Below are 12,318 nucleotides of genomic sequence, written 5' to 3' on the forward strand. Positions count from 1 at the left end.
TGGATACTACAGGACAGGACAGTAAAGCTGTTAGGCTGCAAACATTTTCTTGAATGCTGTATCATTCAAGAAAATCATTCAAGAAAAGAGAATGACCATGAAGATGACTCAGTGGTCATCAGGGCTGCACCCTCCCCAGAGGCCCAGGGAGGACATCAGGACTGTCCCTCCCCAACTTGCAAAGGAAGGGTGTGGCTTTGGTTTCCTAGGCCAGGCAGCTGCTGCATAGCATCTTGGTTTTCTCTAGTAAGATTATGATTTTTCAGAGTGGATATTTTATTTTATTTATCCTGCTTGAGATGTGTTGACCTTATCAAATCTTTGTTTGATATTTTATTGATTCTGGAAAATCAAACATTTCTGAACTATTTTTCTTCAAATGTTACTTTTGTGTCACTTTCTCACCTCCCCCAGTGACACCAATTAAATACATGTTAGGCTATCTCAATGTATTCCCAAAGTTTCTACCTTCTCTTCTGTGTTTTCATTTTTAGGCTGCTTTCTGTATATTTTCTTATGACCTTTCTTCAGGTCTGTTAATTTTTTCGTTCATTTAAATAAGATCTGAAATCACTCCCATTCAATAATTGAAAAAGGAACAATTTCAGTTTTAAAGTTTTCAGTTGTAAAAATTATACTCTATTCATTTTCAAGTTTTTATGTTATTTTCTTCTATTTTTTAAGTAACCAGTTTCCTGATCAAATTTTACTATCTTGGCTTTTATTTCTTTTTTCTTTCTTTAAATTTTACTTTAAGTTCTGGGATACCTGTGCTGAACGTGCAGATTTGTTACATAGGTGTACATGTGCCATAGTGGCTTGATGCACCTGTCAACCCATCATCTAGGTTTTAAGCCCTGCATGCATTAGGTATTTGTCCTAATGCTCTCCCTCCCCTTGCCCCCCAGCCACCTGACAAGCCCTGGTGTGTAATCTTCCCCTCCCTGTGTCCATGTGGCTTTTATTTCTTAGAACAAAATCATATTTGCTTAATCATCTAAGCCTCAAGATCTAAAATGTGAACACTTTTTGAGAATATTTCTTTTGTGAATTATTTCTCTTGATTTTTCCTTATAGTATCATGTCTTGTGTGACTTTTTATCTTTATGTATATCTTTATTTATATCTGGAAATTGTATCTGATAACTGTATTCCTAGGTCTCTGAATCACACAAATGAAAATGACTTAGGTCCATGAAAATGTGATTATTGGTTTGCTTTTTGAGCTATTAGAAGAATAATAAATTATGTAACCACATTATATGTGAAAGAGAAAATATCAGTTCTCATAAAATATAAGACTTTTACTTAATATTTTAATAATAAACTCATCCTTAAATTTTGACACTTTTATGCTAGTGCTATTATTGTTTAGAGTTGACACATAAAAATAATAGATATTCAGAACTGTTAAGAATTTAAAATATTTTATTCAGTGTCAACAATTACATAACTTTTTGGTTTGAAAAGTAATCTTTATACAAATATAAACAAAGCTTGAATAACATCTGAATAAAAATGTATTTGTACTAAGGTATTTTGCATTAGATATTGAAGACTATTTTGATAACACATTTCTGATGTACTCTGCACATTGGAGTTAAGGAAGATCAATTTCTTTTGGTTATAGGTTGGGTCACTTTGACCTTGTCCCCATCATAAGAATGGGCTTCCTTAATTTTGAAGATGTTCTACACACATCATATAGGTCAGGATTTATCAATATAGTAATTGTGCTAATTTAAGTTGCAAGTAAAAGAAGATCCAGCTTAAATTTGCCAACCAATAGAGGGATATGACTTACTAACAAAAGTCAAAGTATAGGTTTCAGGACTAGTGTATTTCAGTGTGTTAATAAAATCATAATACCTGGTTTGTTTCTATTAAGTCACACTTGGTTTCTTGTTTTCAGATAGTTTCCCTTGCAAAGTTATCAAAGTGCTCCCCAGAAGACATTAGGTATTTGCTTTCTAGTCTACATACAATGAAAAGGAAAAAACGTCAGTTCCTGAAGCTCTCTCAAAACATCAACAGATGGAAAGACGTGCCCATGTCCTCCCCTCCCTCCACTCTGGGGGCTTGGAAATGCTGCAGCAGGGAGCAGGCCCCAGGCTGGACCTGCCCTGTCCTCACGACGAGTGTGTGCAAAAGTGAACAATAAATCATTTCAAAGATGCAAGGAAGAAAAACCAAAACATCAACAGAATCTTCTTTCCCATAATCTTCATGCACCTCCTGGTCCGGATGAGTTTATGTTCCCATCTCCGAGCACAGGGATTGATTGTGATGGCATTTATAGGACTGAGTGCCCCACACTCTGTGATCCAGCATGGAGTTATGATTTACATCACCACAGGAAGAGTACAGAGGCTTCAACAGAAAAAAAGGTAAATTTCCAAGTAAATGGGCAATCGGTTTGGGGAAGGCATTAAAAATTTCTGCTATATCAGAGATATGATCCAAATTACAAAGTGTTGCAAATCAAAACATTTATGCTTAGTTTAAATAGTTTTCAGAAGATGTGTGCTAGGCAAAGCCATCATCCTCTGATTAAAGTTTCACTGAGTTGCTGTCACGGAGTGAATAGGAAATATTTGTACCTGGAAATGGATTTTTTTCTGAGTTTTAAAAAGAGAAGTTTTCCAGTTCTTTGAAATTATCAAATATATTAACCATGAATAATCATTACCTTAATAAAGAGAGTTATTTTCGCTTTTTCAAAAAAAAAATCCAAACACAGAACCAACAACAACAGTGACGAAATCACAAAAGAAAAGGTCCACAACAAAAGCACTGATATGGAGCACAGAAGATCTAGAATCATACAAAGACTCTAAGCCTGACTCACACATTGACTGTTGCGACATTAGTGCAAAACTTACAATGATATGTATATACAAAACTTACAATGATATGTATATACAAAACTTACAATGATATGTATATACAAAACTTACAATGATATGTATATACAACATTTATAATTATATGTATACATAATCCATTTTACCTGGTTTTGGGTCTCATAAGAATAACAAATAATTTATATTTCAGGAGCCCCACAATGAATTAATATGTAGACAGATGTATTGATTCATTTGTTTCTATTTTATTGTTAAATAGATTTAATTTTATCACAAATGAACATATAATTTTTACCCTCTTAACCATTTTTAAGTATACAGTTCAGTATTTAGTATATTCATATTGTTGTAAATCCAATTTCCACAACTTTTTCATCTTGCAAAAATGAAACTCTGTCCCCATTAAACAACTCCCAATTTCCCCTGCCCCACCCCCTAGTAACCCTGTAGTATCATTCCACTTTCTGTTTCTAGGAGTTTGCCCATGCAAGATGCTACATATAAATAACATTATACAGTATTTGCCTTTTGTAAATGGCTACATTTCACAATGTAGTCAAGGTTCATCCATGCTGTAGCACGCATCAGAATTCCTTCCATTTTGAGGATGAATAAGATTTCATTGTATGCCAAGACGTATATCACATTTTGCTTATACAGTCATTCATTGATGGACACCTAGGTTGCTTCTACTTTTTGGCTATTGTGAACAATGCTGTTTGAACGTGGGTATAAAACTATCTCTTTTAGACCCTATTTTCAGTTTTACTCGGTATGTGTCCAGAAGTGGAATTGCTGGATTATACAGTAATTCTGCTTTTAAGGTTTGAGGAACTGACATACTGTTTTGCATAGCATCTGCACCACTTTAAATCTCTTCCAACAGTGTACAGGGGTTTCAATTTCTCCACCTCCTTGACATTTGTTATTTTCTTTTTTAAAATATAGTGGCCCTGGTTATTATTTATTCACTAGATTATCTTCTTCAGTGTTTGAGTTTTATAAGAATATCAATTCTATTTTTCTATTATCCTTTTATAAATATTTCATATAAATATCTCATCAAATAAGATAATTTATTGTTAGTTTTTATTTCAATGCTTTATAGTGAAGGCCACTGAAGATATATAAATGATACATTTTGCGTTGACTCCTTTGTGAATGGCTATCAATAAAAATTTTTCAATAACTTACTATGTGCCAATCACTCCATAGCGTTCTAAGTAGGCTTTAACATTGCCATGTTAAACTTCTCTGCTTGTGATTTCTATATCTAACCCAGCTGGCAGCAAGACAGTTTTGTTTTTTCATTGAAATGGCTCTGGCTTTATGTAGACCATTCATTCACTTTCCATGCCACTTCCCTGAAATATTTGTGGTTCATATTTTCAACTCAAGTAAACATTTTTTTTTCGATACTCTGCTGCATTCCTGATGTCATACACACTATGCAAACGGTCAAAAAATAACTCTGGTCCTTTTCAGGAGAAATATTTCATTAAAAATAACTTATGAAAACATGACCAAAATATGATAGACTATTCATTTGTCTTTTAATTAGGTAAATGCTTGTCTTTCTCAAATGTTTCACCTTCTTCTATAATTTTATCATTTTACTTTTTTACCTTGTCTTTTGATTTCTAGGTTATATTCATTTCTACAAGACCACATTTTAATTTTTATTTCATTTTCTATACATTTGGCATTCCTATCTGGCAAGCTTCCTGTGTTATTTAGTGGTATACAAGTAATTGCTTCTTTTTCATTTATATTTTACTGTCTGTGACATCTTTACAATTAGTTGATAATTTCTGTCATGCATCACAATAACTCATTGCTATAAATGTCCTATTTTTAAAATTTTTCTCAGCTCCTTTTCTCATTTTTCTTTTAATTCTTCCTGTATTCTATTTTCTGATTCTTGGGTTTTAGGCTTCGAAAATACCTTTATATATCCCTCTGGATTACTTTAGTTTCACAATTATTCTTTAAATTTTATATAAGCCTTACATACATTTAGTATTTTCTGGCTAATGATATTGTATTTGAAGCTTGAGTATAAATACAAAAAATCTTTTTTTCCAAGACATTTAATAAAAAGAAATAGTGTTAATGTAGTTAGAGCAGATGACTAGATGAAATGCACGACTTTCCCACCCATGAATAATGGTGCCTCTTTCACTTTGCCACAAAGGACATGCCTTATACAAAGGATAGTATTTTCTTTACTATCTGCATATGAAGATTTCACAAGCCTTATGCCTGTGATAATTAATTTTAACGTATTAACTTGTGTGGGCCCAGCGCCCAGATACTTGGTCAAACATTATTCTAGATTTTTCTGTGAATGTTTTTTGGATGAAATTAACATTTAAATTGGTAGACTCTGTGTAAAGCAGATGACCTTCCATTCTGTGGGTGTGCCTCATCCAATCAGCTGAAAGTTTTGTCAGAATGAGGACAGAATTCTCCCAAGCAGGAAGGGATTGTGCCAGCAGACTGCTTCGGACTCAAACAGCAACTGTTTCCTGGGTCTTCAGCCCGCCGGCCTACCCTGCGGTCTTTTAGGCTTTTAAGGGACTGGCTCACATGATTGTGTGTATCTATATTTATATCTAATCTATATCATCTGCATCACTCATTTCTCTGGAGAACCCTAATATATGCCCTTAAAGGTCATTTTATATCAAGCGTTTATTTTTGCCAGACATGATTGTGTTGCACTAATATTTGTCTCCCTTTTCTTAAAATTATGCCTTCATTTTTTTGTTGAATATTACATCTGTGACTTAGCTTTCTAGTGTGAGTGTGTTATTTGTTGTCAAGATGAAAAATACACATACACAATTTAATAAACATTAAAGGAACTGTGGTGACCAAAATGCAGATGGATGTGAGAAAGAAGGGCTGTGAGCTGCCACCTCATTAATCCACAATGGCACCATTTTCCTCTCACCTGAACTTTTAGAAACTTTTTTTCCACCTTACAATTGCTTATGCAATAAACTTCACTCTCACTTAGACTCCATAACTTATCCCAGAAACCTTAATGCCTCTAAGCAGCAACAAATAGACTGACAAAGAGATGTGTTACCTTGTTCAGACAACCCGATGATTCTGTGAAAGCACATAATGACCATCTTCACTTTACATAGTTAACCTGAACTGCCAATTAAATTGAACTGTTCTCATCTGACGTAGTTATTGGCCTAGCTTTTTCCCTGTATTCTTGTACTGGAGACATTTAATATGGTCATCATAAGTGAAGGTAAGTTATTTCAAATAAATATACTAATTGGATCAGACTCGATTCTATTTTACTTTTTATATTTCAACTGTGCATGTATACATGCACTATTAATTTGGTTTTAATTATAATTTTGATTAATAATTTGAATCTAAACTTATCCCCGTCCCTGATACTTACCCGGCCGGAGCTAGCACAATCTTTGACTGGATTATAGCAATTGACTCCAAATGACCCTACTGCGTTTGCTTTTTTGCCTCCCATTAATGCTTGCACTCAGTCCAGCGGCCAGAATGTTCCTTTAAAGATACACATTGAATCACATTACTCCTCTGCTCACAACCTTCCCATGGCTCTTAATCATATTTCATCTGAAGACTAGAATCGTTAAAATGGCCTGCAAAGTGCATTATGATTCAGTGCTCAGTACCTTTCTGACTATTTCTCCTGCTGCTTTTCCACTTTGCTTTCTCCACTGAAGTTATGCTGGCCTCCTTGAAGTTTCCTTCTCAGCTATAGGAGGTTTGTGCTGTATCCTCCTTCACCTGTAACAGACTCTTGCGGGTATTTCTACAACTCACTCCTCATATCATTTACATCTTCTCTCAAATGTTAACTTCACAGTGAAGTCTTCCTTCAATATCCTACTTAAAGGTGTACCAAGTTTACCAGCCCAGCAGGAGCTTCTGTCTCCTCTGTGATTTGTTTCCCTCCAAAGCACTTATTGCCTTCTAATAAATTATACAACTTATTTTACTTTTTCTCTTTGTCTCTTTTTATTGCTTTTTTGGTTCATTTCTTATTGTATCTCTTCCACCAAATAAATTTTGAATAAAACATTTTTACTAATTTGTCTCATCTCCATAATTTCAGCAAAAACAACAGACCTTCATTCAGCTTAGGAACATAATAAATAGGACGAAGTTGAATAAACGAAATGGAGGGGAGTGAAGTATTCCAGATGGAAGAGGCAGTACGTGGCCAAGAGGAAACAGACCATGTGCGCTGGAGAAAAAGGATGGCCAGACTTGCAGAAACCTGGAATTGGTGATTGGCTTTAGAAGTGGAGAGACAAAAAAGGAGGCATAGAAAGTGCCAACATTTGGCTACACAGGGAAGAAAGACGTAAAATAATAAAAACATTGGCATCACCTGTAGACTCAAATCCTGTGAGTGAAGGACCTGAGCAATGAAGGATGGATTGAACTCGTGATTAGCCTTCTTCAGCATATGTAAAATGATGTCTGCTTTTCTTCTCTATTTGTCATTTTACCGACTTTTTATATATAGTAGTTTCCCCATATCCATGGAGGATGTATCCCAAGACCCCCAGAGGATGCTTGAAACCACAGATAATAACAAACTCTATGTATCCTATGATTTTTCCTGTACATCCTTACCTATCATAAAGTGAGTGTATAAACTAGGCACAGGAGATTAAAAACAATAACTCATAATAAAATAGAACAATTAGTACAACCTAATGAAAGTTATCTGAATGTGATCTCTCTCAAAATATCTTATTGTAGTGTACCATGGGTAACTGAAATGATAGAAAACAAAATTGCTGATAAAGGGGGATATTGTAGTAAAATAAAGGGGGATGGGTAGAGCGTAGGAAGCATTCACAATTAGAACAGTTGGCAGTAGGGAAAGAAACATACTTTAAATTGGAATGTGGATCACATGGCTGCCTCCTGCCAGTCATGATCGCAGGGTACAGAGGCCTCTGGTATGTCAGGTCTTCTCTCCCACCACTAATACTGCCCAAAAGACTCCATCAGCAACCAGAGCTGAATCACACACAACCCAGATTGTCATTTCTGATGACTTTGACTTAAACAAACAGACATATTTTTAATCTTTTTAGTGTGTGTGAAACTAGCAAGGCCTAATGAATTGAGTATATGGATGAGGTTTGTGGCCTCTGTAACGTTTTCTCCAACCAGAACCTACTGAAATAGCACAGATGGTGATGAGTATGGTTCAAACACAAGAATTCTTGGGTAAGTGACAAGAATCTCGGTCTCCTGCCATTTCCATCTCTGCATTTACTTACTGTGTGAATTTGGACGAGTCATGTAATCTTCTGGCTTCAGTGTGTTTATCTCTGTAATTAATATGTTCAGTAACAGTTCTTCCCTCTGACCTAAAAATAACCACTTCTTCCAAAGGTATATATTAGAACTATATACATATATACTATACAAATATCTAACATTTATATACTTAATATATGTAATAAACATACTACACATGTAAATTTAATGATCTACCCTATTCTCAGCCTCTACTTTCCTCTGACAATGACATCATTCAAATACTCTAAAAAGCTCATATTATAGAATCTTTATATTTAAAAAAGTTTTGTAATGCTCTAAACTTAATTGCATATTGCTAAGTGAAAGAGGCCAGTCTGAAAAAGCTATGCACTGTATGATTCCAACTATATGACATTCTGGAAAAGCCAAAACTATAGAGACAATAAAAGTATCAAAGGCCTTTAGGGGGTTCAGGGAAATGGGTGAGGAATTAAATAAATGGAGTACAGCACACTTTTAGGGCAGCGAAACTATTGTGTATGGTACTCTAACAGTGGATATGTAACATTACACTTTTATCAAAACCTATAAGCCCCAAACAGAATGTTGTAAATGTAAACTCTGGACTTCATTTATTTGTAGAGACAGGACTTTAGTTAAAAGTCCATATTGGTTTATTAATGGTAGCAAATATACCACACGAACGCCAGATGCTAGTAAGAGCAGAAACTGTGTTGGGAGGAGGGAAGATGTATGGGAACTGGACTTTCTGTGCAGTTTCTCTCGGTAAACCTAAAACTGCTCTAAAATTTTTCTATTGAATTTTTCAATTATTCCAGTTATTCTCTATAAATTAGCATACCTATTGGCCCCCAATTACCTTGCTAATTTTAGGTTACTTATTTTTATATGGTTCTCGATTTAGTCTCCTTGGGCAAATAGTAAACTGCATGGCTTTTACTCTCTCTGACTTTCTTTTTCTGTCCTTCACAGAAATTGAAGTTGAAGTATAAGGAGAATTTTTACATCACCCAGGTTCTAATTTGGAAGGTTTCTAACAGCCCTCTGTCCTCTTCTGGTGCTCACTGTGAAAGAATTTGCACCCTGCAACACTAAGTGTTTGTGCTAGAATCCACTTCTGATGTTGGCTGCTCTGACACAGCTTCCATTCGGTATTTATGTTGAGTTCTTTCATTTTATGTTGCTCTAATAGAATACTTTAGACTGTGTAATTTACAAAGAGTGAAGTTTTATTTCTTACAGTTCTGGAGGCTGGGGAGTCCACCCCAGGTGCTGGCATCTTGTGAGAACCCTCCTGCTGTGTCATTCCATGGCAGAAGGCAAAAGTGCAAGAGAATGCCAGAGAGCAAGAAGGGGAAGAACTCAGTTTTATAACAAACTCACTCTCAAGATAACTAACCCATTCCTGCTATAGCAACATTCATCCATTCATGAGGGCAGAGCCCACATGACCCAATCACATCTTACTTGGCTGCATCTCTCAACACTGTTCCATTAGGAATTAAGTATTTAACACATGACCTTTGGGAGACGCATTCAAACCATAGCATATGTCCTCTATGCAGTTGCCTTGTCTAGATGTAGGACACTGAGAATTTACCACCCTTCCAGCATTGACGTGCTCTCTAGGTGGCTCAAGAATTCTTGGCTGTGTCTCCACCAGGCTTCAAGACCCTCCATTAGCCTGGCTTTTGGACCTCTGTGGTTCCAGCCCTTGCTAGACACGGGTTTCTCTAAGAGATCTGTATTCTCCACAGTCTGTATACAGAAAAGATAGTCTCAAATCTCCTCTGATTTAGGGCCCTGATAAAAATTACTTGGTCTTCTACTCTACAACCTCACCATACCCCTTCAGGTTTTGAACCTGGGAGAGACAGAATATGGAACACTTTCTTAAAAATAAATGCATACTTGACATTAATAAGGGATTTACAATCTATTCACTATGAAATCCTCAGGAACATGTAGGTTTTTCCAAGAAGTAAAAAACAATTATTTTCATTTAAGTCATATGTCAATTAACAATATTTTTTACACAATTAAAAATCTCATTTTTGTTATGAAATGTGAAACACATTTCCTTTGTTTTTGAGGCAGGGTCTCACTCTTGTCGCCCAGACTGCATTGCAGTGGGGTGATCTCGGCTCATTGCAACCTCTGTCTCCCGGATTCAAGCAATTCTCCTGCCTCAGCCCCCCAAGTAGCTGGGTTTACAGGTATGTGCAACCATGCCCAGCTAATTTTTTTTTGTATTTTTTTCAGTAGACATGGTTTTTTTTTTTAAATTTTATTATTATTATACTTTAAGTTTTAGGGTACATGTGCGCAACGTGCAGATTTGTTACATATGTATATATGTGCCATGTTGGTGTGCTGCACCCATTAACTCGTCATTTAGCATTAGGTATATCTCCTAATGCTATCCCTCCCCACTCCCACCACCCCACAACAGTCCCCAGTGTGTGATGTTCCCCTTCCTGTGTCCATGTGTTCTCATTGTTCAATTCCCACCTGTGAGTGAGAACATGTGGTGTTTGGTTTTTTGTCCTTGCGATAGTTTGCTGAGAATGGTGGTTTCCAGCTTCATCCATGTCCCTACAAAGGACATGAACTCATCCTTTTTTATGGCTGCATGGTATTCCATGGTGTATATGTGCCACATTTTCTTAATCCAGTCTATCATTGTTGGACATTTGGGTTGGTTCCAAGTCTTTGCTATTGTGAATAGTGCCGCAATAAACATACATGTGCATGAGTAGACACGGGGTTTCACCATGTTGGCCAGGCTGGTCTTGAATGCCTGACCTCAACTGATCCACCTGCCTTGGCCTCCCAAAGTGCTGGGATTACAGGCATGAAGTCACCACACCTGGCCACATTTCCTTTTTGAAATGTGATTTATTTTATGAGGAACTGTGTGAAATATGAACAAATGAATAAATAAATCTCATATTTTTTATGTTAATGGATTTGTGACCAGGCCAAGAAATAAACAGAAGTAGTAAATGAGAGATGTTGGCTTGGACTTATGTGAGTTCCTGTGTGTTTGCTAATTGGTAAAGGAAATGGGCCAACACCAACTTGGAATACATTGATGCTGATTTCTAATACTTCATCAGAGGCAAGCGTTTAGGGAAGTGGAGCACACAAAATCAAGGACTTGGTCAGGGCTCAGCAAGAACTGGGTTTGCTAGATGTCTGCTAGGCAGCTTTCATCCCATTAACCTCTGGGATACTGTGTCCGTGTTGTCCTTCTGGATAAACAGAGGAATCGACTCTGTAGAGCTACTATCAACAGAGTCTTAGGCCACCTTCAATATTTCCCTTTGATTCCTGTGGGTAACATGAGAGCCAAAATTTCATCCCAGCCATGCTAATCACCATTGTTTATGAGGTTCTTAGATACCCCGAGGCTTTCCAACATGGCCACTCACAAGATGGAAGCTAAGTAGCACTGAAATGTACATTTAAATCAAAAAATATTAATAGAACATTAGATAAGATTTCAACCACCATAGTAAGTAAAAGCTCACATCTAATCCATTTAGAAAGGTCTCCGGATACAGTATACAAAATCATTTGTATAAAAATACCTATACGTGCAAAACTCAGTTATATTTCTGTGTATCAACAATTAATAAAAAGAAATGCAAAGAATAAACCTGGAGGACCTAAACTATCAGATATGGAATGTGTTATTAATTTACAGTAAGTCAGGCAATAAGCACAGGGTAGAAAAACCATCAATGGAATAAAATGGAGTCTAGAAAAAGATTCAAAAGTAGAGAAAACTTGATTTATGACATATGTGGCACTGCAGTTTACAGAAAAAGCTTAACTTTTAAAAAATTTTGCTGAGTCATTGACTATCAGTTTGGAAAAACAGTGTTGTAGCCCTTACCTTACACCACAATTAAAAATTTATCCCAGTTGCATAGATCTAAATGTGAACAGCAAAACAATAAATGTTATACAGAAAAACACAGGAAATCACATCATAGTCTTTAGAGGTGGCACACATTTTTAAAACAGAACACAAAAAGCATGATCCACAGGGGGAAAAAAGAAAACTGGAGTATGTTACAATTGAGCATTTTATTCAGGAGAGCAGTGGGACACAACACAAAGTAAAAGATGTTCACTA

At 36.0% G+C, this 12,318-nt stretch overlaps 1 long non-coding RNA gene across 2 annotated transcripts in view; it reads left to right on the forward strand.

Moving 5' to 3' along the window:
• The window catches only part of CCDC144NL-AS1 (CCDC144NL antisense RNA 1), a 61,515-nt gene extending 53,920 nt beyond the window's left edge, over window positions 1-7,595 (forward strand). For both annotated transcript variants that reach the window (NR_160710.1, NR_160711.1), the window contains 2 exons: window positions 1,913-2,387; window positions 6,985-7,595. This is a non-coding gene — a long non-coding RNA (CCDC144NL antisense RNA 1). The remainder of the gene's footprint in view (window positions 1-1,912; window positions 2,388-6,984) is intronic.
• Window positions 7,596-12,318: the final 4,723 nt, after the last annotated feature.

The sequence above is a fragment of the Homo sapiens genome, chromosome 17, assembly GCF_000001405.40.
Source record: "Homo sapiens chromosome 17, GRCh38.p14 Primary Assembly".
In the NCBI taxonomy this organism is placed as follows: domain Eukaryota; kingdom Metazoa; phylum Chordata; class Mammalia; order Primates; family Hominidae; genus Homo; species Homo sapiens.